The sequence below is a fragment of the Homo sapiens genome, chromosome 10 (assembly GCF_000001405.40).
Source record: "Homo sapiens chromosome 10, GRCh38.p14 Primary Assembly".
NCBI classification, from domain to species: Eukaryota; Metazoa; Chordata; class Mammalia; order Primates; family Hominidae; genus Homo; species Homo sapiens.
Window position 1 is genome coordinate 10,443,031 of NC_000010.11, and position 27,477 is coordinate 10,470,507.

The 27,477-nt window shown below is 36.1% G+C and overlaps 1 protein-coding gene and 1 long non-coding RNA gene across 10 annotated transcripts in view; one reads left to right on the forward strand and one right to left on the reverse strand.

Annotated features, from left to right (window-relative positions):
• CELF2-DT (CELF2 divergent transript) overlaps positions 1–19,319 on the reverse strand; it is a 42,812-nt gene extending 23,493 nt beyond the window's left edge. The window contains exon 1 of the long non-coding RNA NR_120637.1: positions 19,159–19,319. This is a non-coding gene — a long non-coding RNA (CELF2 divergent transript). The remainder of the gene's footprint in view (positions 1–19,158) is intronic.
• Positions 19,320–19,519: 200 nt separating this feature from the next.
• Positions 19,520–27,477, forward strand: part of CELF2 (CUGBP Elav-like family member 2) — an 874,126-nt gene continuing 866,168 nt past the window's right edge. For all 9 annotated transcript variants that reach the window (XM_047424494.1, NM_001326323.2, NM_001326320.2 and 6 more), the window contains exon 1: positions 19,520–19,556. The gene's annotated coding sequence lies outside the window, so the exon portion shown is untranslated. The remainder of the gene's footprint in view (positions 19,557–27,477) is intronic.

Here is a 27,477-nt window from a genome sequence, read left to right on the forward strand (position 1 = left end):
AAAATTAAGGATGTTATCACATTGTTATTTAAGTAATAGTAGCAATCAGAAACAGATATAATGGAAGAGTTACTAGTATAGTATATACATTATAAATCTAATTTTGGTATTTAAAATTTAAGTTATATACACGTGGTTAAAAAAATCAGTTTTTAAAAAGGGGGTTCCTCAGTTAAAAGTTTATTTAATCTCTACTCTGACTTTTCAGTTATTCGCTCTAAAGGCAACTAAATTTATCATTCTAGAGATATTTTTTATATGCCAGAATGTATGTATCCATATCCACCTTTTGAATTTCACACAAATGGTGGCATACTATTCATACTGGCTATTCTATGATTGCCTTTTGCTCTTAACTATATGCCTCATAAATCATTCAATATAAAGACACATAGGTATTGCTCATTCCTCTATCTTCTTGACACAAAGAAAATATGGAAAACTTCTTGGCATAAGGAAAACTAAAATCAGAAGTTCATCGAGTTATTTAAACCTGATGAACTTTCAGAAACTGAATATTCCTGTGTATCTACCACATAGATCAAGAACCAGAACATCACAGCAACTCAGCCACCCTCTTGGGGCTTCCTCCAGTCACCACTCACAAAGGGTGACTGCCATTGTGACTTCAAATACCTTTCCTGAATTTTGTCTGTGTTAAAACTTTATAGAATTGGCCCGGAACGGTGGCTCACGCCTGTAATCCCAGCACTTTGGGAGGCCGAGGCAGGCAGATTACAAGGTCAGGAGATCGAGACCATCCTGGCTAACACAGTGAAACCCCGTCTCTACTAAAAATACAAAAAATTAGCCAGGCGTGGTAGCGGGCGCCTGTAGTCCCAGCTACTCAGGAGGCTGAGGCAGGAGAATGGCGTGAACCCGGGAGACGGAGCTTGCAGTGAGCCGAGATTATGCCACTGCGCTCCAGCCTGGGCGACAGAGCGAAACTCCGTCTCCAAAAAAAAAAAAAAAAAAAAATACAACTTTATGGAATTAAATCACATAGTATATCCATTAGGTACTGCCACAATAATGCTGCATAATAAGTCATGCCAAAATTGAGTGGCTTAGGAAAACAATTATTCCTACTTATGCTCAGTGTGGAGCTGCATTTCAGATTTAAGGTATTTTTCTTCATTTTTTATCATGATAGCATCGGTTATACCAGGGTTCAACAACATGGTATGACAGAAACAGGCAGTAGGCCATATTTTCCCAGCCTCTGGATATATTAACGTTGTACATGACCCCAAAATCTCAGTGGCTTAACACAACTAAAGTTTTACTTCTTGCTCACAGGGGCATGACCAACACAGGTTATTTGGGGCAGGAATAGACATACATCAACACTTTGATAATGACCATGGCAATGGGGGCAAATGTAGATGCTAACACACTGGCTAACAGTTACCACCGAGAAGTGATGAATGTGACTTTGCCCTTTTACTGGCCAAAGCCCTTCAAATAGACTTAGCCTCATTTCGAAAAGGGCAGGGAAATGCAATCCATTTCTGTGCCTAGATGGAGAGGAGATCTAGAATATTGGTGAATGTACTCATAACTATAGTTGTTGCTGTATCTGGACCATATGTGGTCAGGTACCCTGAGGAGCCTCCACACTGTGTGTCTGCTAATATAACAGATCATCACAGATTTGGGGTATGCAAGTATTGATATGGTGACTATAATTGATACAGTAAATTATTTTCAAAATTCAGGGGTAAAGGGAACCAAAGCCACATGTTTTTACATGGGAACAGTAGAAGTGCACATGTACTGTCTTTCCTCTAGGCTGTGTCAGTTCTCCTGTTCTTTGTCACAACGTATTCTGTAAAGACTTGGATCATCTTGTCATTCTGAAAACTACCGTGTTTAGCCACCATATTAATCATATATTAAAATGCTCTAGTGAGCAGAAAGTGGCAAGTATTCTTGATACCCTGAAAAGGTACATAACATGCCAGAGGGCACTATGTACTCTACAAAATTAAAATTCAGACACCTGCCACTTTCGTAATGTTCACAAGATTTCATTAATCTGGAGCATGCTGTGGTACTCTATTCTATCTAAGGGAAAGGGTTATTGAACCATACATTCCCTACCACTAAGAGAAACATGGCCACAGGCTTAGTAGTTTTATCTGTATTTTGGAGGTAGCATAAACCATTTTTGCACAAAGTGCCCTGATCATTTATGAAGTGACTCAGAGGCTGCCGGTTTTAAGGGCAAAGAATGAGAGAGAACTTTGTCACAGGTCCAGACTGTATGACCTGGCAGATCCAATGGGGCTAGAGGGATCTATGGTGGATAATGTACTAACATAAAGCCTCTGGTCATCCCCAGTAAATGAGGCACTGCAAAGAACACAAGAGTTCTGAAGCAAGGTACTGTCTGGGGTTTGAAAAGCAACTTCTGGCATGCTACCCAGCCCTAGCAGAGAGCAAGTGCCTAACCACTGGAACTACATAATGAGTTGAGTATAGTCAGATTCACCAAGTTACAAAGTTGGACAGGTGCAGTCACAATCCATCATATGATGTGAGTTGTACATTAAGAATTTGTCCTGAGCATTTCCAGATGGCCCTCAAAATTACAAGAACAGATGCCTCAGATCTCCATATTGCCAACATTTTTTGTGTTGATGGGTGTCCCACACACAAGTAGAGCCTCCTTGGCCATTCTCTAAAACCGCCTAACAATGAACCAAAAAGAAAATAAAAGTCTTCCTCTGGAAGTAGGTTAGCTCAGCATGTTGGCAAAGACAGAATTGGTCTGATGCTGTACTACAGCCCTACTCGGGAATGACCTCAAAGAACAATGAGGAGAAGAAAATCAGTTTGTAGAGCCACAAGCAGTAGACAGACTCAGTCATGTTTTTTGTATGGAGAGAAAAATAACCTGAGGTAAGAAGATGCATGCATTTCTGGGCAGTAGCAATGATTTGCTTTTTTCATGAATAAGGACCTGGTAATACCCACACTGAAAGATTGGAAATGAAGAGGAGGAAAATAGAGGGAAGACCCAAGAGTGTAGGCATAATCAATATGTATCAGTAAAGGAGGCCTTCAACAGCTAGGTAGACAGGATGCATTTAGGGGCAAATGGCAGGCAGACTCTATCCTGTCTTCCACAGTGGCCCCATAAATGGAGTAGTTATGATGAGAGAAGTGGTGGTTATGAATAAGCCAGATACCCCCAATTTCTTCATGCAGAGACTCAGCTACCTACTGTTACTCCTGAATGTTCAGCCCTGTCAGTAGCAGAGCCCAGATCTGAGGTCTCAACATATAACATTGTGCAAAGAGGACAGTCCGTCACCTTGTGGAAAATCTAATACATCCGAATGTCTTCGATCCCAGAGGGGCAGCGATTCATTCATGCCAGAACTAACACTCAGGATATGAGTCTGCCTTACATACCCTGTTCCCCTGCAAGCACCACCCTCAGATGAATTACAGAATGCTCAATTTACTGACATAAAATGCCACAGAACATAACTTTGAATTAAATGACCCATTTTATTGCATACTTGCTGTGACAATGGATGCCAGATTTCATGGATGGATCTGTTTTTAAGTGTTCTGTTTTGTTCCACTGATCAATTTCTTTATCCCTAGGCCAATAACACACTATCTATTGCTTAATAATAGGTTTTGATACCTGGTAGAGCAACTCATGCACATAAACACGTTGTGTTATTAGAATTTTTGTGGCAAATTTTGGTCTAGTGTATTCTATATAAGAATGAGAATCAACTTAGAAAGACTTTTTGAATTTTATTGACATGTCATTGAATCTATAAATATGTTTGAGTAAGAATTAAATATAATATGAGCCTTACAATTCATGAATATGATATCTCTTTTTAGTTAAATCATTTTTTAAAGCTTTCAACAAAATTATCTGGTTTTCTCCAGTCTTGTCTTGCACAATTTTTGTGAGATTTTTCTTGTAACTTTATTGTCTTTGTAAATGGCATACATATTTTTGTAATTTTTGTTTCTCATTTGTTCATGTAAAGAAATAGAATTTTGTCCTTGCAAACCAAACACCGCATGTTCTCACTCATAGGTGGGAATTGAACAATGAGAACACATGGACACAGGAAGGGGAACATCACACACCGGGGCCTGTTGTGGTGTGGGGGGTTGGGGGAGGGATAGCATTAGGAGATATACCTAAGGTTGAATGACGAGTTAATGGGTGTAGCACACCAACATGGCACATGTATACATATCTAACTAACCTGCACGTTGTGCACATGTACCCTAAAACTTGAAAGTATAATAAAAAAAGAAATAGAATTTTATGTGTCAATCCCATAACCAGTTAATTCCCATTCTTATTCACAGTAATTAATAACAGCTGAGATTGGCTTTAAGCTTCTGCTGGTCTCATGATATTAGGGTATTTCTATTTTTTACCATATTCTGGAAAATGCAGAATAATGGGAAACCTTTCCTTCAAAGTTACATAGAATTTACTGACAAAGTCATTTGGGATGGTAATTTTTTGTGATAATTTTTAACACTAATTTTATTTCTATGGTTATTAGGCTATTTAAGCTTGCTATTTCTTCTTCAGCTTTCTATCATTATATTTTTCTAAGAATTTGTTTGGTCCAAGGTTTCTGACTTACTGGCTTCAAGTCATTTATGGGATTCTCCAATAATATGTTAAATCTCCCCTCTTCTAATGACATCCCCTCATGTTTTATGAGAGCTGTTTTTTGTTTTGTTTTGTTTTGTTTTACTTTTTATTTTTTGAGACTGAGTTTTGCTATTGTTGCCCAGGCTGGATTGCAATGGCACAGTCTCGGCTCACCACTACCTCTGCCTCCTGGGTTCAAGCGATTCTCCTGCCTCTGCCTCCCGAGTAGCTGGGATTACAGGCATATGCAACCACTCCCGGCTAATTTTGTATTTTTATTAGAGATGGGGTTTCTTCATGTTGGTCAGGCTGGTCTCAAACTCCCAACCTCAGGTTATCCACTCGCCTTGGCCTCCCAAAGCACTGGGATTACAGGCGTGAGCCACCATGCTCGGCCTGTTTTTTTACTTCTTAAGAAAACTATTAATTTTTTAATATATCTGTGGTATCTTTATTTTCTATTTCATCTGTTTCTAATTTTTATTGCCTTTCTCTACTTCTTTTGGTTGACTAATCTATAAACATTCATGACTCTAAATTTTTCTCAATTTATGTGCCACTATCAATACTTTCAACATGTCTTGATTTATTTCATTTTATTCAATTCTAATTGTAATTCACTCAACTCTGCTTTTATTACGATTTTTTGCTAAAATAATAATTATATGTCCATTTAATTTACAAGCATAGTAAATATGTGGAAATCATTAATCTTGAAATAATAAAATATTTTCTCAATGCAATAAAGAAAAACATAACGGAAACACATTAGAGTATATTAAACCTTTAAGCTTCTTAATGAAAAATTTGTTTATAGGCAGTACTTGAACTACATTAAAACTTGAAATAATATTTACAAATTGAAGTTCTATATTTTTAATATATGAAAGCTCTTATGAGTCAAAAATAACATAAACATGCTAATAGAAATTGTGTAAAACATGAAAAGCTCATACACGAGTATGCATCATGACTTGTATGAAAGAAACCTGTATTACTTAAATCTGGAGTTCAAAATTAAAATAATCTACATTCACTATATTTTATCTATTCAAATTGGTAAAACCTTCTTAAAATATTGAAAATTATATCTGTATTTTAAGTGTAAGTTTAATTTTTCAGAAAGTAAACTCAATAATATACATAATAAATATCAAACCTTGAAAATTATTTAATTTCTAAATCAGTAATTTCTCCTTATAAGTTTTACTTAAGAAATAATAGCAAGTAGCAAAGACTTTATTGGCAAAAATATCTATTACTATATTTAAAAGCATTATGGTGTATACATTTATGTCTAATCATTATTTAAAACAATAAAAGATAAGAATTCTCCACTCTAGGGCTTGAGGTCCTCTTTGAATGATTTCATCATTTATTCACCATGAACCCCACAGTAGTTCTTTTCATTTTTGCTGTAAACTTTGGGGCCTGTTTTATAAGTTGCATACAAGTTTGTAAAGCTGTAAGTTCCCAGCGAATAGAATATTTTTATTGTCTAATGATCCTTTCTAACCTCAATATTTTTTATCTTAAACTGTATTTCTATATAAATATAGCTACCTAATCTTTATTTTGGTTTGCGTTTACCTCTTTTTCCATTCTTTGACATTCTTTGACATTCAATTTTGCCGTATTTTACATTTACCACTTCCAGTGGCACAGGGCTGTAACTTTTGAAATTCCTTTGAGAAGTATTTTTACCAGTAACTTCTTTCACATTTATTGAAATTATTGTCATTTTGGAATTCCTTTCATTATATCTCTTTTAAATTTATCTTTGCTCTGCCTTTCAAGGAAGAATAGGATATTGGTTCCAAAATGGATTTCGTAACCAAACTGCCTAAGTTTGAATCTGCTACTAAGTGAAGTAGCTTTTTGACATTGTGTGTCACACTTTCCTTCTCTATAAAATTCGGGTAATAGTGAAGCCATGAAGTTGTGGGAAGGATTCAAATCATTATACATATGAGCCGATTAACCTGTTGGGGGATGGTTGTAAGAATCACTATGTGAATGTCCCTAACAACTATAATTCTTTCTCTTTTATTATATTTTCATTTTATCTATTTTATTTTTAATATTTTTCTCTCTTCTGATTTGATATTTAAGCTTCTTCTTTTCTGTTAGTGGCTACTCTTGAAATTTTTCCATTAACGTATAACCTCACAAGGGTCAGAACCATAGGAGAGCCTTTCTAGAAAACAAGACTCAAAGACTTTAACTCAGATCATCTTTCCCCTGACATACATGCTGTTTTTCTCTAACATTTCAGTTCTCTTTTTTCATGAAAACTTCACAAATTAGATATTTATAACATTTTACAGAGACAAAATTTAAACCTACATACTTGTTTAGAATATCCTTTGTGTTTTTGTGTTAATATTCCATTTTCTTCCAGCTTACATTGTTGTATTTAGTATATATCCAGTTATTCCCATTGTCCTTCTTTCATAGGTGTTCTGGTTTCTCTAATTTTCACTTTTATTATAAACTTTACACACAAAATATAAAATGATGTGCATAGATTTCAGTGTGCAGCTCAGTGAGCGCTGACAAATACACACATCCACGTAACAAGCAGCCCCAGTGCTTCTTTCCCCTGAAAGTTTCCTTTTCACCTTGGCATGGTCCAGTCTCCTCACTCCAACTCCTCTTACCGTTGCTCTAATCTCTATTAGCATAGATTAGTTTCGCCTGTTACAGAGCTCTATGTATTATTTTATATCTGGCTCCTTTTATTAAATACAATACCTACAAAATATCTGTTCTTGTGTATATCATCAGTTTGATTATTTTTATTTCTACATACTTACTCCATTGTATGAATCACCAGAATTTGTTTCTTCATCCACTTGTTAACATATTCTTATTTCTAGTTCTTGGCTATTGTGGATAAGTTAATTATGAGTATCATCTACAATTCTTTGGGTAATAAGTGTTTTCATTTCTCTTGAGTAAATTCCTGGGTGTTGAATTGAGGAGAAATAGGGTGGATATCTTTGTTTGTAAGAAAACTTAATGCTGTACATTTTTTTCTTACAATGACCATGCCAGTCTTTATTATAGTCAACATGGTGTCATTACAGATAGCCTCATAATGTTAATTAGGGAAGTGTCCTCTGCTACTTTGAAAACAGTTTGTGTGAAAATGGACATGATTCATTTGTTAGGATGCATCAGTGTATCTGGGCTTTTGTTTGCAGGAAAGTATATTATTACAAATCTGTTTAATAAGTAAATAGTTTTCTGGTATTCTGTATCTTCTGGTGTCGATTTTGGTAAACTGAGTTTTTAAGAAACGTGTATTTTCATCTAATTTGTTGCTGACATTGACTTGTAGATAATATTTCCTTATTCTTACATGATGAGAGGATATGTAGTGATGTAGCCTCTTTTTTTTCTGACGATGTAATTTTTTTCTTTTTTTCTCATTAGTCTTGAAATGTATTAACACTCATTATATTGCCAGCATATGGTATATCTGGGGCAATTTCACATGCACTTGGGAAAAAAACGTGTTTTCTGCAGTTGCTGGGTATAATGTTCTGAGGTCAGATTTTCTATATCCTTATTGATTTCTTGTCTCCTTTTTCAATTCATTTCTGAGAGAAGAGTCAAAATCTACAACTCCAAGTTGGAATTTCTTCTACTTCTCTCTTTAGTTCTGCCAGATTCGCTCATATTTTTCAAGACAGTTATTAGCCACAGACACATGGAGGATTGTTACATTTCTCTGTTGATTTTGCTCTTTTAGCATGAAATGTTCTTTTTCTTTTTTTTTTCTTTTTTTTTTTTTTTGAGACGGAGTCTCGCTCTGTCGCCCAGGCCGGACTGCGGACTGCAGTGGCGCAATCTCGGCTCACTGCAAGCTCCGCCTCCCGGGTTCACGCCATTCTCCTGCCTCAGCCTCCAGAGTAGCGGGGCCACAGGCACCGACCACCACGCCTGGCTAATTTTTTGTATTTTTAGTAGAGACGGGGTTTCACCTTGTTAGCCAGGATGGTCTCGATCTCCTGACCTCATGATCCACCCGCCTCGGCCTCCCAAAGTGCTGGGATTACAGGCGTGAGCCACCGCGCCCGGCCGTTCTTTTTCATCTCTCATGCTTCTTATCTTGAAATCCACTTAGTCTGATATACATGTATCCTTCTGTGACTTCCATGTGCTTAATGTGTACATGATGTACTTTTGTCATACTTTTACTTTAAACCTAGTTGTGTCTTTATATTTTATTTTTGTTTTCCTCTAACAGTTTTATTTTTTGATATATAATTAATGTACATATTTTGGGATACATGAGATAATTTGATACATGTATATGATATGCAAAGACTGAATTTGGATTTTTTTTTTTTTTGAGACGGAGTCTCACTCTGTTGTCCAGGCTGGAGTGCAGTGGCCCGATCTCAGCTCACTGTAAGCTCCACCTCCCAGGTTCACGCCATTCTCCTGCCTCAGCCTCCAGAGTAGCGGGGCCACAGGCACCGACCACCACGCCTGGCTAATTTTTTGTATTTTTAGTAGAGACAGGGCTTCACCGTGTTAGCCAGAATGGTCTCAATCTCCTGACCTCGTGATCTACCTGCCTCAGCCTCCCAGAGTGCTGGGATTACAGGCGTGAGCCACCGTGCCTGGCCTGAATTTGGATATTTAGGATATCCATCACTGTCAGTATTTACCTTTTCTTTATGCTAGGAACATTTGAATTATTCTTTTATGGTTACTTTGAAAGGTACAATAGATATATGTTAACGATAGTCACCTTGCTGATTTATCAAATAGTAGGTCTTACTCTTTCTGTCTAACTATTTGTGTCTATGAATCAACCCCTCTTCAACCTCCTTCCCCACTACACTTCCCAGCCTCTGGTAACCACCAGTCTATTCTCTATCTTCACGAAATCCCCTCTTCTAACTCCCGTATATGAGTGAGAACATGCAATATTTGTGTGTCTGTGCTTGGCTTATCTCATTAACATAATGACCTCTGTTTCCATCCATGTTGCTGCAGTTGACAGGATTTTATTTTTTATATCTGAATAATACTTCATTGTGTATATAGATACCATATTTTCTTTATCCATTCATCCATTAGTGGTTGCTTAGGTTGATTCTATATATTGTGAATAGTGCTGCAATAAACATTGGAGTGCAGATAGCTCTCCAATACATTGAGTTCTTTTCTATCTGTCTGTCTATCTATCTGTCTGTCTATACACCTATACACACACAGTAGTGGAATTGCTGGATCATATGGTAGTATCTTCATATTTTAAAGTGAACCTCTGTAGATTGCATTTTGTTGAGTCTCACTTTATTACAAAGTCTGATAATCTGCATTTTAATTGGAGTGTTTGGTGCATTTACATTTATTGCAGTTATTGATATATTTGGGTTTATATATACCATATTTCTGCTTGTTTTCTATCCTATCTCTTGTCATATTGTTTCTCTTTTTCAGTCTTCTTTTTGGATTAAATAAATAGATATTTCTCTTCTTGCCTATTCTCATGTCTAGGGAATAAGCAAGAATGCTGGTTTTTGTAAATGATCAATTGTTGTTAAGTCTGGATTAATGTCTTTTTTAGAACACTGAATTTTGTTTTAATGGGATGCAAATTTGCTAGCATCTCTACCGTATTTTGTTGAGGCTTCATTTTAGGTTTCCTTAAGGAAGGTTACGTAACTTTCAGATACAGTTTTTGCTCCTAAGGTGTGACCTTGCTGGTATATCAGCTGGATGCCCAGGTATTAACTTAACAATGCCCTTCCATTCTAACTGGGCCACAGTACTACATCTACCACAGCTATGCAATATCAGCTCCACTCTGAACCTTGCACTTTGTGCTAGGCAATGCAGAATCCCACCCTGGCCTTAAGGACTTTTGAGAAACGCAGACAGATACTTAGGAGTCCCTCTGTCCACTATGTTCTCCTTTCTGGTAATCTGCCATGCAAAGTTCAGCTGTTTCAGTAGCCTCGAACTCTCTGCCTCCTCATTAGCGACTCCGTAAAGCTCTGTTTTAGCTTTGCTTCCCTCTGCTGCATTTTGGGACTTCTCCCTGGAGAGCTATGGTGAGTAGGGGGTCATTTCATGCGTTTCCCCTCTCTCACGGATGAGAGTTCTCAGCTGCTTATGATCCAAGGCTTGTACACGGTTGATTTGTATTTTTTACCTGGTTTTATTGTTCATGTCAGGAATGTAAGTCCCACACTACGTTACTGGGTCATGGCTAGAAGTAGAAGCCTGCTTTCCTTTTTCTGTCTTCATTACGTTTCATTGTAAAATTATTTTTGTTGATTTGCTTTAAAGTATGCTGTGCTTCCTAAAGCTGTGGCTTCATATTTCTTATCAAGAAATAGCTGAAAATTTTTTACATACTATTCCCCCAAATATTATATTTTATAAAGGATCCTTACTGTACAGTTGAAGCAATAAATTTTAGATGCAGACTCTATGAGTTGTAATGTATAATAATTTGATTAATTTTACTTTGCATTTATGGATTAATTCTCTATAACATTGTTTAACTCATATATTCCCATTCTATATTATATATTTTGTTAACATTTTATAATTTTGTCCAAAAAGATCTTGCACATCTTTTATTAAATTTATTTTTCATGGTTTTGTTACTGGCATATAGAGGCTTTTGTTTTCTCTTACATTCTATGGGTATTGCTGAGGTATAAGAATATTCTTGATTTTTATATATTTATTTTGTATCAGTAACTTTGATCTCCTCTGAGTTATATGTAGGGTCTTGAGTATTCTATATAGATAAGTGTATCATCCAAAGAAGACAAATGAATGAGTTTGCCTCTACTGTCTCAAAATATATATTGTTTACTGTTAACTCTTGTCTCCAAAACAATGTTGGATAACAAAGATAACAGAAATCACTCTTACCTTGTTTCTGATTGTAATGAGAATGCTTCTGAGTTTCAACATTAAATATGATGCCCTTCATAAGCTCTAGCTGGATGACGTTAACTGTGTTAAGCAATGTTATTCTATCAACATTTAAGAAATTATGAGTTAGCTAAAAGTTTGTTTCGATAACTCTGTTCTAGGGACTAGAGTTACAACTGTTAACTCACTGGAGGAAAGGTGCTCACCTCTTTCTTCCCTTCGAGTGTGGCTGTTTCATCTATTCCCATTTTTCTAGTCTCTTCCTCAGGAGTTTCTTCTCCCTTCCAGGCTGCTACACAGATGTCACTTCCCCTTGGAAACCATCCCTCAAGCCTCATTTGGGAACATGCTTTGCCTTCACATCTCATGCTACGCTTTCCCTCTCCTTCTACTCATCATGCACTATGGCAATTGTCTGTTAACTTGTCTGTGTCCCCAGTAGTCTGAGAGCCACAGTAAGTCCTGTTGCCAGTTGTATCTCTGGTGACAAGGACAGTGCCTAACTGAAATTAACTGCTTCATATTGTCTAATTGATTACTCAATTGCTTACTATGCCTTTTTATTTATTTTTAGGTCTGTAGTGGAGTGTTTGATTATATTTATTTATTTATTATTTATTTATTTATTTTCTTTTTTGAGATGGAGTTTCACTCTTGTTGCCCAGGCTGGAGTGCAATGGCACAATCTTGGCTCACTGCAACCTCTAACTCCCAGGTTCAAGCGATTCTCCTGCCTCAAGCTCCCGAATAGCTGGGATTACAGGCACCCACCACCACGCCCGGCTAGTTTTTCTATTTTTAGTAGAGATGGGGTTTCACCATGTTGGCCAGGCTGATCTCGAACTCCTGACCTGAGATGATGCGCCTGCCTTGGCCTCCCAAAGTGCTGGGACTACAGACGTGAGCCACCGCGCCCGGCCACGTTTGATTATCTTTCAGGCTAAAATTATAATCACCTTGAGCTTTGATAAAAATTGGGTCCTTTTAAGACCAAAATCAGACCCATTGTATGTAAAATATAAATGTGTGTGCCAAACATTGTTTACCATACCATTCTGGTACCTCTCTGTGAGAACGCAGAGAAATTCCTCTGTAATTTCTCATGTCAAAGAGCTATAATTCTCCTAAACAAGTGGTTTGTTTTCATCTTCTAGATATTTTGATGCATGCAGCTAATGATATTTTCTATTTCACATTGTTTGGGAAGCTATAGAACCAAAGCTTAGCTTACTTCTATCAAGGGTATTCAACATTAGAGTATGATGTTGTATATTAATTTAATTCCTGCTTGTCTTCTGCTTTTATATTCTTATTTTTTCCCTCTTCCCCCAAAATTATATTTTCTATTGTCAAATCATATTTCCCTGTACACTACCCTAAATCCTGTTGCCACCAAGCAAGGTAAAATATTTTCAGGGTAATATGTTATTGAAATAATCTCACCACTTCAATCTATTTTAAATGCTGCTGGAAGGTTTGTCTTTCAACAATATGTATAAAGATGTCGTGCTTCTGCTTAAAATACCTTAGTGGCCTCCCATTGCTTCTAGGGTGAAACACAGATTCCTCAGGAAGCTGCACGTGAGTCTTCATGGCGCTTTTCTGAGTGCAGAATTGAAAAGTTCATTTAAGCACATCAAGTCTGCATTTTGACTAAACGACTTGGAAAATGAAACAGTTTTTTTTATGATAATATACCGGCTTACCTTCTCATCAAAATTCTAGAGTGAAGCATTTTCTTTTCTTTTTAGTAGAGATGGGGTTTCACTATGTTGGCCAGGCTAGTCTCGAACTCCTGACCTCATGATCTGCGTGCCTCGGCCTCCCAAAGTGCTGGGATTACAGGCATGAGCCACCACGCCCGGCTGCCTGAGTGAAGTATTTTCACAACAACAAGCTTGCAAAAATTTCGTTTCGTTTCTATTTTGTTTTTGTTTTTCCCACAGTAGAGTATATTGAACTCTAGCAAAAAAAAGATAATGTTAGAAAGTTTATGTAATGTTGTGGAAAATGGAAGGAGAACAAGAGGGGGCCTAACAATATATTCTATCAACTGTTCAACTTTTGTCTAAATGAACTGTATAACAAACTGGTATATAAGCCCCTGAATGGATAATAAAATTAACTCAGTGTCCAGGAAAACTGTACCCGCAATTCCCACGTTTGAAGTGGCTTTAAGTTAAATCAAAGTGGTAAATTGTTTCAGAAAAATATTGGAAGATTATTTTCAGGATTCAAATATAATCTCTCCCCACCTATCATCTCCTCTTGATTTTCTTTCTAGATCTAAAAGAGAGAAATTCAATAAATTCTGGTAAGTACAGAAAATCATGGTTTAGGGCCAAAACACTGCCCTAAAAAAGACTTTCTCACCAATGGCTTAAAAAGAAGTTCTGAGTTTTGGAATGAAATGCTACTTCTTTGCTAAAATGCCAAAATAGCAAGTCATTTAATTCTGCCTTACTAACAATATCAGAAAACAGAAGCTACGTCAGTGAGCATTTTGCAGAGCATCTGTGGGCTAGGAGGGCTACACTTCCTTATAAATTGTTTGCTAAAGATTCAAATTTGAGAAAACTCAGAAGCAACTACTAAAAGTCAAGTCCTGAAATGAGGAAAGAATATTGCCAGTTCAGACCAGTATTGACAGTTACGTAGGTCACCATTCGAAGTGATAACGTACATGTACATGTGTCTGATTCCTGGAAAGTTTAAAGTACATTATAGTGTCATTTATATTCCTATACTTAGTGATCCAGCGAGCATTTACTCAGCCTATTTATTAGGTATGCCATTAAATCTCCTTTAAAATTATACACATACATAGTCCCTGCCAAGTTGAATGCCACACATTAGTAAGAGATACTTATGTATTATGCACAGCTATGTATGTTGTCTTACCTATCATATCATGGTGTTCTCTATATAAAATAGAATGGTTTGTCATATGAAATCTAAAATGCAATTGTATACATTACAAATAGATTGTCAACTCTTTTAAGATAGGAAGCTGGAAGTCAGTTTAGAATCCTTTACTACCTATGTAAAACCTAAATTAAACTACATGGCCAGGTAGGACCACAATAAGATCGTTAATAAGTCCTTATTACATTTAATTGTGTGGTGGTTAATGCCGTGACATTTTGCCTTTCACAATTCACGTTTTCACCAGTGCTATCTGGCAACTGCCCCTACCATTACAATAAAAATCACTTTAGTAATAGCTTTCTACTAGTTAATTCCTACTGATATTTTCCATTCTATTCTGGCCAGATTATAAATATTTGAAATCCGTGCAGCATTTGATGCCCTGGTCTAGTCCAGATCATTTTTGCTTGAATTATTTGATCTCACTTTGTTCCACATTTCTTCTTACCTCTCAAGTCACTTAATCTCTCACCTGAGCTTCCTCTTTGCTGTTCCTGGGATTCTGCTCTATTTCTTGACGCTCTCTTGAAGAGCTCATTATTCTGTGGTTTCTGTTGTACTCCCATGACTCTGATCATCATTGCTTCTCCACTGGTAACTTCTCTGAATGCTGGACCCAAATATCCCATCTCCTGCACTTTGTCCAACAGTGTTCTCAGGTGGATTTGTTACAAACTGACCTCCTCATCACTCACTACTCCCAATCGCCAACCCCTTTCCCATCTCCCACAGGGAGTGTACTGCTCTCCACTTTGTTACCCAAGTGAGAAGTCACCCCCTTCTCTGAGCGCTGAATGTGTTCTACTGATCCATCTCATCACCCCTGTGCCGTCCTTTTCTCACCTCAATATTGCAATTCCTTGAGCTTTCATCTTTGCTTAAACGTTCTCAAAGTCAAATCTCTTATCAGCTGACTTGTAAGAAAACTTCGCTTATTTCCAATATGCACTTCCAAATTCTTGCATCCAGTTTGGCCAGGTAGTGGGCGTGTCTGTAAAATGCTCTAGTTTTTACATGTCTCTCTAAGTCAGGGTTTTCTGTTTATACTTTCTGTGGCATGCCATGTTCTCGGTTTACATTCTGTATGTTTTCTGTGCCTTTTAGCAGAGCAGGGTGCACTTTTAGTTTAGAAATAGAAATTAATAAAATGCCATGAAACTTCAGGTATCACATAGACCCAGCATCAATGGTACAGGGACATTGATTCTCCGTGTGGGCCATTCGCACGTGAGCTACCTTGTATTTCGGAATTGAGTTCAGTTGAAAAACATAGTTCATCTGCGGTGCGTTTTCCTGTCTGTGTAAGAATACGACAGTAAGATGGAAATGGCCTGCTGAGGTCTAAGGCCTCCTCATGGTCTTTCTTCTGTCTTAGGCCAAATATCAGGGTCTGTTTTGATCTCTTTGCGATCTAAATACCCAGATAATATCACCCACAATTCTTTACCTACGTGGTCACAAAGAAATTATTGTGAACATCTCCTTAAAATCAAGAATTCTGTGTCTGTGTATGTTTTAAAAATCAAATTAGACTTTTCATAAACTTCAATTGATTCAATGATGAGGACGTGGTTCCAAACATGAGTAGAAGACCATTTTTATGGCAGCACTGAGAAAATACTTTCTGAATACTCAGATATAAAGGGGTTAATTAATTATGATAGCTAAGCAGTACAACATAAGCAAACAATTTTTTCAAATTCTTTTAAAATGGAAAACTATACATGAGTTATTGTAGTCAATAAGATATCACAGCCACAACATATGATTTATTAGACAGTATGATACTGCCCAAAAGACAAAACAGTAAAATTACACTGAAGACAGTTGACTCATAATGAGGAATACATTTATCAAAAAGTAATAATTTTAATATATGCAAGAAGTTTGAAAATGATATTTAATTATCAGTTATAACTGGAAAGACTAAGATGTATTGATTTGATACAGCTTTTAAAAAATGAATTAGCGTTTCCCACCTCGATATTTTCTCTGAGCATGAAAATTTAAATAGCATATGACAATATGCCAATTCCAAGAAGTTCTTTAAAATATATCTCCAGGAAACTTGTTCAGTGTATTTCTTTAAAACACATCTCCATGATGTGAAAGCCACCTAAATGTGTATCACTCCACAGAATGCCCTAACAATTTAGTGGGATATTTATTTTTGAAGTGGATTTTTTTTCCAGTATGGCTGTGAGATATGTAATATATTGCTTAATCTCTCCAGCACCAAGTAAAATTCTCTGAAATAATAGGTTAAATATCTAGTGGAATCACATGTCTCACACATTTGCTAAAACCTAGTTGACATTAGCCAAACAAAAATGTCCCTTCTCTTAAGTTTAATGTCAGGGTTATTTTATTTTAATTCAAATTAACATTCTCCCATAATCCCAGGACTTTGGGAAGCTGAGGTAGGAAGTTATCTTGCGACCAGTAGTTTGAGACCTGCCTGGGCAACACAGGCCCCTATCTCAACAAAAAATGAAATAAAGAATTAGCAAGCATGGTGGTGTTCACCTGTAGCCCCACCTTCACAGAAGGCTTGAGCCCAGGATTTTGAGGCTGTAGTGAGCCATTATCATGTCACTACACTCCAGCCTGGGTAACAGAGTGAGACTCAGTCTCTTAAAAAATTAATATTTTTCTAACTGAACTCAATAAACATTGATGAACATAAAAGTATTATTTCTTCATTTAAAATAGACATTCAGAATATAAACCAGTATGTGCCACTCTGTATATTTTGATATTCCCTAACATGTTCTAAGTATGTTATGTTCAAAATTATACCAAAGTAACTAATATTGGCAAATTAGTCATATTTGTAGTAAGATATTTTTTAAGTCATTACTTTATTTTCAGGTTTGTTTTTTTTTTTTTTTTTGTCCAGAACTAGTCTTAAAAGAGAAAGGATTGAAAGAATGCCACTTAATTGTAGAATGCTTCAGGAAAATAAAATCTCTCTTCAATTAAATCTTTTGAAATAATCTATGCATAGCACTTTCCAAGCCAAGGCATGGGTTGTTTCGTTGCATCTTATGCTATGACAAAGTCCTATAATTAGCACATTGGTGTAATCTACCACTGTTTCATTAAAGCTGATTGCATAACTATTTGGGAAGTTAACATGGCTTCTTGAGTACTTGACCTGCCCTTTTTTTTTTTCTATGCTACAGCTGTTAGTAGGAAGTGAGCAAAGGCATTCATTGCTGAACAGTAGTAGAGAAATAATCCTGGTAAAGGTTATAATACAAGACAAAGATGGAGTTTCACTCTGTGCATCTCAGACCTTTCCATTTTTAATTGGTTTGGTTTTTTGATGAGACCTCAAATGACAGAACAAATATTTGACAGCTAAATTTTTACCAATTTAAAAAGTGAACTCATATTTATTTAAATTACATTTTTAATCATTTATCTTTTGAAAGTCTGATTTTTAAAAGTGAAATGCATTAAAGCAGTGCGTCCTTGAATTTAAGAGGTTCTGCAAGTTGTGCAGAAATGGTGAAATCCATTTAAATGGCTTGAGGTAGGGATAAGAGGTAAATAATAGTTTATTTTAAAAAGTAGATTAAGCACAATCATGTTATCAAGAGTAACTCTCTTCTGTGTCTTTGGCCACTGTTGAAGAACTGTGTACAATTATATATTTTACTCCTTAGCAACCCACCCCCAGCTATGGGACATGACACATCAGTCAGCATGGTCCTCTCAAGTTAGGGTAGTCGGATGATCAGAGAAAAATCCAGACTTGCATAGGAGCACCAATGCCATAAACCTTCATAAAAGCAGTGCTTCAGATCAAGAGGCAACTTTATAGATGTTCCCTACTACAACAGTCTTCCGATAGCTTTAATACTGAAGTAGTCGCTAACACACTCGTCTGAAAAGAGCATTTAGAAAAGAACAACAACACACACAAAAAAAACCTTGTTGAAAATTCTGCACAAGCAATTTACATCCTGACAGAAGAAGGATGGGGTTTATTCTCTTTCATAATTCCTCTGCTACACACTCGCAATACCCTGCACGTTAAGTATCAGGTTTTTCTTGCTAAAATTAAAGCGGTTTTCTATAGGAGACACCTTAGGTAAAATTGGCAATGGAGACCAAGTTTATTTCCATTATTTTTAGTTATTTGCACAATACATAAATACGAAAATAAACTTCTTGCATTTCGTTGTGGAGACTTTTTCATTTGAATATTTCATCCTTCCTAGAAGTTTCTGGGGTTGATGGGACCTTCATCCTAGGCCCTCTGTCCCTTAAACTATTCTTAGTATGATGCACCTCCCTGTAGCCCTCCCACCATCCCCAAAAAAAGAAAGAGTCAGAGCAGAAGTGGAAACCTTACTAATCTTGGTATTTCCATCTCTATATTCCCAGAAATTTCAGTGTTTAGGAATTAAAGGAAAAGACAGGAAAGAATGTGTTTTGGAGCAGGAGACAGGAACAGTAAGAAATGCACAAGATGTCACTAAACTGTCATAGTAAAAATAGTGTTAATAATTATAGATGTTTAGAAAAAGAAAAAAAATTACACCCCAAACAGAAATCAAACCCAACATCATGTACTATGGTGTATCAATTAAAATGAATGGGAGTTACATGCAAATACCTCAAATAAAATACCTCAAATAAAAAATGTAGAATACCTTTCCACTGATGATTTTTAGTTGTCAGGACAAGTGAGACCCAAACAGCAGACAGAATGGTCCCAGCATGCTTGTTGCCTTTTTTTGTTTGCACAGTGGCTGTCAGTTCCAGCCTTGCAGGTAGTGGAACCCAGCCGGAAGAAGGGGCGGGACCCAGCATTGCAGCCTGAACTGAGAGCAAATTTAAATTACTGAGCCTTTTTTTTCCTTTTTTTATTTTTCTACTCTGCGACAAACTGAAAAGATTCCAGCACGCTAATTTAACCACCCTGCTTCTTCTTTGCCTTTTTTTTTTTTTTTGATTTTTTTTTTTTTTCTCTCCCTGCTTCTAGGATAATTAAAAGAGAAACCTGTAAAAGGCAACATTCCTGTGAGCGAGTTGGTGCTGCAACGTGCTGGTAAGAAAACGAGTTTAATTTTTTTCATCTTTTTTTTTTTTTTTTTTTTTTTGCTTTTTCTTTTTTTAAAGAGCTGAAGGCTTTGTCTGTCTAATGCAGTCATAAGCGTGGCTTCCCTGCCGTGAGGGGTTAGCGTATAATGAAAAGGTGTAATAGCCTGATGTACGACCTTCGCGTCATACTTATAATGGTTAATAACAGCATTCCTGTCTACCCCGATGATGCTTCTCTCTGCAAATGGACTATTTGCCCAGTTGCAACAGGGCTAAGATTGTCGCACTATGACAATGAGTTGTTGATTGTTTGGAGTTGCGGTGTCCTGTCAGAAAGATTTCTTGACTTTCTCCAAGTTACTTCCTTCCAGGGATGTTACGGGTTTTAATAGGTACCTTGCAGACCATAACGAGTCTGCTGTTTACTCATCAAACAGGAAGTGCAATGATGAAACTTTTTTTTAAGGAATCCTAATTGTCTTAGACTTCCTTAGTTCAGATAATGAAACAGACTAAAGTGAGTGCTCAGTAAAGTCATTTTAATCCCTTTCATCTGTAACTAGTCAGGAGTTCATTAGCCAACTAAGAAGAACCTACATCATTTGCAGACCTTGTATTTGAGATGCTAACTTTGTTCCTCAAAAGGACAAATTTTTATTCAACCCAATTAAATTCAACAAGTATTTCTGTGTATACTCTGCCTGGAACGGCTGCTGAGAATGTGCTTGCCTGTTACTCTGTTGTGGGGGAATAACTGAAATTAGATAGTGTAAATTTTCAGCAACCAGATTTTCTTACTACCTTTAGCACTGACCAGATCACTTAAGACATTTCAGAATGTGTGACCGTTGGCTATAAGATAAAGTTCTCAAGGTTACATATCCTACAATCAACGAACTTCTGTTCTTTTTCTGCATGTAACTTTTGCTCATGTGAAAAATGCAACTCTGGCTACTATATTTTACATCACATCTTAATGTTATAAAGAAGAAAAAAACATAGACATCTCTTTTTTTGTACACTAAACATGTCATTTGAAAATATATCCATGTGTCAAACTTTGAGCTTATCCATATTTTAGCCTCAGAAGCAGGAAGACACACGGAGAGGTTTAGGCTTGTCAATGAGTCTGCTTGGATTTGGGTCAAGAAACTTAGGAACTACAATTTCTCTGTTTGTTTGGTTGTTTGTTTCCTTTAAAAGCACGTGTGAAACAGCAAGGAATACATTTTGCTTTCGCCCCATTGTTCTTTGTAAACTGGTGTAGTTTTTATTTTTTTATTTTTTGTCCTTTGGTTTTGAATAGATAACTAGAAATGTAATGGGGAGGTTGTCAAAAACAGAATGTAGTTACCAAATGTCCATTAAAACCTTTTTCTAAAAAAAAAAAAAAACTCCTATGGATTTTGAAGGTTGTATGCTATTTGCATCTTATAGAGAATGTGGCATTCCATACGCTGGTAACATTTGGTCTCGGGTCTCTATAGCTATTCTATCTAATTGTGTCGCTCTATATTTAACAGCTCTGAACCATGCCGCCCCTGGGTCCTCACCGGTGCCCCCAGAGCGCTTGAAATGTCTAAAAAGACCTTAGAACATTACAAAGTGTCAATTGTTAGAATAATTTCTGCCTCTTTACAACAAGAGAAAATGCTGTGGAGTTAATAGTTCATTTTTAAAGTCTGTTCTTATCCACCGGTAACTGTCTATTAGCAACATTTCAGTTATAATTGGAATAAATTGTTGCCCAGTAACAAGCGACTAACTCCTTAGCGACTTTCCATAGAATCAGTGACTAGAAATAGCTACAAAGAGCTAAACGCAAGTCAAACCACAGTACTTGTCTTTTTTTTTATTGTGGAAAAAAATTCATTTCTTTATAATTTTATCATTCTATTCTCAAATTTTCAAATTGAGGTGCCTCTTCTTTGTAATTTTCTAATTGACCAAAATCCCGTACGTGAAAAACAAAGGCCAATAGATCTTTGAAAATTTTTCCTTCTGGCTTAAAATAAGAAAGGATAAGCACAACCTCTCAGACTCTGAGTGTTAACAAGATTCTGAGCTAGCAACACCATTAAATGTGAAGAACTGCCATCATCTTTTGCAGAACGCAATGTAAAATTATGGGTTTCACTGTAGGACTCTGTCATTTGAACTAGTAATCAGTCCATAACACTATAGATTGCTGTAGTTAAAATGATGCTTTCCCCCATTAACAAAACATTGAATAACACTGAAATTATGTTAGTTAGATTTTACCCTATTTTTTCAATAGAGAGTCAGGAATAGCCCCAAATCCTTTTACCTAAGGATACGTAATATCAGTTTGTCTTTTCTTCTGCCCTCACTGAAGTGCTATGACATTACAGGCTCAAGAGAAAAATTTCTTAACAATAGTTCTGCATTTGCCATGAGCTCTTGCGGCATTTGGGAAGGATTTTCACCTTCTACTTGCACAGGTGTTGAAATAGAAAATACCTTCTGACGAGAATACACATTGTTATTTTACACACAGACATATGGACAAAAATATATATAATGCCAGAATAAACATTAAAGGCAACATGAAAGTATACGGATTGCTCCCTGAAAATACGACATTTGACAGTTGCTCAATTTATTATAAATGTTCACTGAGGATCAACTATGTGACAGGAAGTATATCAGAATCTTCAGGAAACAAGAAAAACGAAAAAGCCATGTCTTGGTCATCAGGGGAATTACAATGTAGTAAGAAATGCAGCAGGTAGACTAGAAAATGTAATTTGATTAATTAGTCTATGATGACCTTAGCATTGTATCAGGCTATTGGGATCAAGAAAAGTTGTAACTTTATTTCTGAGTGTCTGGAGCTGACATAATGTTTGCTTCTCTCATTTGCTTCAATTCTTCACCTATAGCCACACATGTTTTCTATTTCCTGTGTTTTTTGAAAAAATTCTTATGGATGTAAGTAGTCTTAACAGCTGTAATTTTTGTGTGTTTTTACTGTAAAATAAAAATGGGCAGGAAGCGCTGAATGGGGTGTCAGGAGGTATCAAGTCTCATTTCTCATCACCCACTGCCTTTGTCATTCATAATCTACTTAGTCCTCTATCCTCCTCATCTTTACAAAGAGGAAATGACCCCATCCAACACTATAATTCTTTTATTCCATCCTAGTGGAAGATGGGTAACTTGTAAGGAAAAGAGATGGTTATGGCGGGCTTGTCCACCTGTGGTTTAAACAAAATACAAGACAATTACCAGCTAACAAGCTCTAAGTCTTAACCTCTGTGTTCGTGTTGAATTGATGTGTGGTTATACCTGCCCCATGATTTTATACCTTCTGTTTTCTTCATTATCATGTTAATGCCCCCAAGACTGTAGAGGAAAATTGCAACAGAATAGTGAGTATATGTTGAGAATGCTGTTCTAGCATCTGTTCAAATGCTTCTTACATGTGATCCAAGAAACAAGAATGTCTTTCTCCTGAAACAACGTTGCATAATCTGATATTTCTATGTACCTTTTAAAGTACCGCTTGAGCAATCTGATGAGCTTTCATTGATTTATACACCTGTGAAGCCACAACAATCAAGCTGCAGAGAGTTTCCATTCGTACAAAAGTTTCTTGTGTCACTTTGACTCTTGCCTCCACACCTGGCCTTCAGACAGGCCTTCAGATTTGTATTCTGTCACTATAGATTAATTTACATTTTATAAAATGTCATATAAATGGAATTATGCAGTATGGATTTTGTGTCTGGCTTTTTCATTTTGCGTACTGACTTTCAGATTCATACATACTGTTGCATACATCAGTAGATTTTTTATTGCTGAGTAGTATTTCACTATATAAATAAGCAATAGTTTGTTCATCTGTTCACCTGTGGATGAACATTTGGGTACTTTCCATTTGGGAACTGTTATAAGTAAAGCTGTATGAATATTCATGTGCAAGCCTTAATGTAGGCATAGGTGTTTCTCTCAGGTAAACAGCTAGAATTGAAAAGGCTGGATCATATGGTAGAGATATGTTGAAATGTATAAGAAAAAACCCAGCAGTTTTCCAAAGTGGCTGTAACATTTGATACTTTCTCCCGCAATGTTGGAGAATTCCAGTTGCTGGGTATCTTTGCCAACATTTTGTGTATTGCCAGTCTTTTCAGTGTTAGCCATTCCAACGGGTATGTAGTATTAACTCGCTGTGGTTTTAATAAACCTTCCCTGAAATTGAATAATGTGGGGCATCTTTTCATGAACACATTGGCTTATGGTAAAGTATCTGTTCTAATATTTTGTCCAATTTTTATTGGGCTCCATGTGTCATCTTAATATTGAGTTGTAGGAGTTATTTTTTCTCCTGGATAGACATCTCTTTTCAGATGAGTGTATGGAATACATTTCCTCCCAGTATGTGACTTTCCTATTATTTTTAATGGTGTGTTTTCAAAGCACAATATACTTTCATTTGAATTAATCCAAATTACCAGTATACCACCAGTATACCAACATACCACAATATACCAATATACCACTTATAATATACTAGCATAAAAATTTATTTCACGGTTCATACTTTTTTGTGTGGACAAAGTGGAAATGCTAAGATTTTTCTCCTAAGTGCTTCTCTATAAATTTTATAATTTCAGTGTTCACACACAGTTATATCATGCATTTTGAGCTAATGTTTATGTTTAGTATGAAATAAAAACCAAGGGTCAATTTTTTTGTCATATGGAGAGCCAGTTGCTTCAGCACCATTACTAAAAAGACTATTCTTTACCCCCACTTAATTACCTTAGTTTATTTGTCAAAAATCACTTGACAGTAGGTGTGTTTGTCATTTTCTGGGATCTGTACCATGGATTTATACATTTATTCTTTCACTAGTTCCACATTGTATTGATTAGCTTTATAGTAAGTCTTGGAAAAAGATACTGTATATTCTCCAACTTTCTCTTTTTAAAAATTGCTTTGGCTCTTCTAAGTTCTCATTTTGATATAAATTTTAGAATTTGCTCATAAATATTTACCCCAGTAAAACTTCTGGTGAAATTTTTATTAGAATTGCATCGAATATAAATTCAACTTGTAAAATTGACATGTTAACTCTATTGAGTCCTCCATCCATAAACAATTTTTCTGTTGTTCCTCATTTATGTAGTTGTTCTTTAATTTCTTTAAGCAATGGATTGTAGTTTTTGGTACATAGGTATTTCACTATTGTTGTGAAATTTTTCCTAAATATTCAAGGGGACTTCAAGAAGGTCATGGAAAAACGGAATTGAAAGTTAAAAATAAAAAATGTAAACTTTATTTCTCAACATAAGCACCATCAAGGTCAAGAGACTTTTATAAGAAATGATACCAGCCACTTAGTTTATCTCTAAAGAACTGTGAATCCTGAGAATTTAACTGATGACAAGGCAACATGTTTTACACTATTAACTGAAGAAAAAATGGTGTCCTTTAAATAATTTTTAGGATTAGAAAACAAAAAGGCAGAAAGAGACAAATCAGGAATGCAAGGCAGATGCCTAATGACTTTCCACTGAAACTCTTGCAAAATTGTCCTTGTTTGAGAGGAATGAGCAGGAGCATTGTTTTGGTGAAGGACTCTATGATAAAGCTTTGGCGTTCTCTAAACACTCTTATACAATAAACAGATACTATCTTTCTTTGGCCCTCCACAAAGTCAACAAGCAAAATGGCTTGAGCATCCCCATAAAACTGTTGCCATGACCTTTGCTCTTGAGTGGTCTGCTTTTGCTGTAATTGGACCACTTTCACCTCCTGGTAGCCGTTGCTTTGGTTGTACTTTGTCTTCACGATCATACTGGTAAAGCCATGTTCCATCTCCTGTTACAATTCCTCAAAGAAATGCTTCAGAATCTTCATCCTACTTGTTTAAAAATTCTATTGAAAGCACTGCTGTTGATTGCTGTTGATCTGGATACAATGGTTTTGGCACCCATTGAGTGGAAAGTTTGCTCAACTTTAATTTCTTAGTCAGAATTGTGTAAGGTGAACCATTCGAGATGTCTATGGTGTTGGTTATTGCTCCTGCTGTGAATTGTTGGGCCTCTTCAACTAGGGCGTGAACAAGAAAAATGTTTTCTTCACAATTTGATGTGGACCATCTGCTGCTGTGGGTTTCATCCTCAACACTGTTCTCATCCCTCCTTTAAACAAGTTATCCATTTGTAAATTGTGAGTTTATGTGGGTAACTATCCCCATAAACTTTACATAAAGCATCAGTGATCTCATTCTTCCACCCAAGCTTCATTCTAAATTTGATGTTTGTTCTTTCTTCAGTTTTCATGGAATTCATGTTGCTCTAGTAGGGGCTCTTTTCAAACTCATCTTGTATCCTTTGTATGCCTCAAACTAGATCCTCTTCAGACGTTTTATAAAAAGTTAGTATGAACTTATTACAGTGCAAAAAAAATGGAAATCCATGCATAATGTTTTCATAATATGCATTTTTCATGAACACTTTGAAGACCCCTTGCATAACGTTTTAGTGTCTTAATAAGTGAAATTTTTTTCCAAGTGCTTGTGGCTATAATATACAAATATTATTGATGTTTGTTTACTGACCTCTTATACTGCTATCTTAACAAATTTCCATGTTATCGTGCATATTTTAAAATTCTTATTAGGATTTTCTAAATACACCATCAACTTTTTGATCAAAATGCTTCATTCTTTCCAACTGTATGTCTTTTATCCTTTTTCTTAGCTGTCTGAAATATCTAGGACTTCAAGTGAAATGTTAAGTAGAGATAATGAAAGTGAACATCCTTGACATGTTCCCAGTCTTAAGGGAAACACATTTAGTCTCTCACTGTAGAGAATGAGGTATTTTTATGCAGAGACTTCACCACATAAAGGAGGTGAAGTCCCCTTCTATGCCTGGTTTGCTGAGAGTTTTCGTAATGAAAGAGCATTGTCCTTCTATGAACTGAGGATCTGATTTGCTAATACTTTTATTAAGAATTTGGTGTCTTTTTTCATGAAAGATACCAGTTGTCACCTTGCCTTCTTGTAATGTCTTTGGTGTGGCATTGGAGTAATACTAGTGTCATAAAATTGGTTGGGAAGTATTCCTTCCTTCTCTGTTTTATGCAATATTTTGTGTAGAATTGGTAATTTTTTTTCTTCCTTAAGTGTTTGATGGAATTTACCAGTAAGCTATCTGTGCCTGGCCTTTTCCTTGTGGGGAGACTTTTAATTAAATACTCAATTTTATTAGTAGATACAGGGTTAATTAAATTTTTCATTTTTCCTTATACTAGTTTTGGTCATTTATGTTATTCAGAGAACTTGTATAATTCATCTGAGTAATCCCAAGTACAGGTTGAGCATCCCTAATCTGAAAATCTGAAATCCAAAATGCTCTGAAATTCAAAACTTCTTGAGCACCCAACATGATGCTCAAAGAAAATGCTCATTGCAGAATTTTGGATTTCAGATTTTAAGATTAGGGATTCTGAACTAGTACATAGGAATAATGCAAACATTGTATTCCAAAATCTTTTAGAAATCAAAAATCCCAAACCCTTCTGGTCTCAAGCATTTTAGATAAGGGATACTCAACCTTCATGGCCATAAAATATTCATATTCTCTTATCCCCTGATTATTACAGGATCTCTAGTAGTATCTCTACCGTCATCCTTAGCATTAATAGTTTGTGTCTTCTACCCCTTTTTTTTAAAATGAGTTTATTAGTTTTACACTTCTGCCATAACAAATTGCCAAAATCTTAGTGGCTTAAACTATACAAGTTTCCTCTTTTTGAGTTCTGTAGATCAGAAGTCTGATACAGATCTCACTAGACAAAAATCAAAGTGTCAGCAGGCCTGTAGTTCTTTCAGAAGACACTAGAGAAGGATCCATTTTCTTAGGGTTGTAGAACTCAGATCCCTGTTTCTTGGC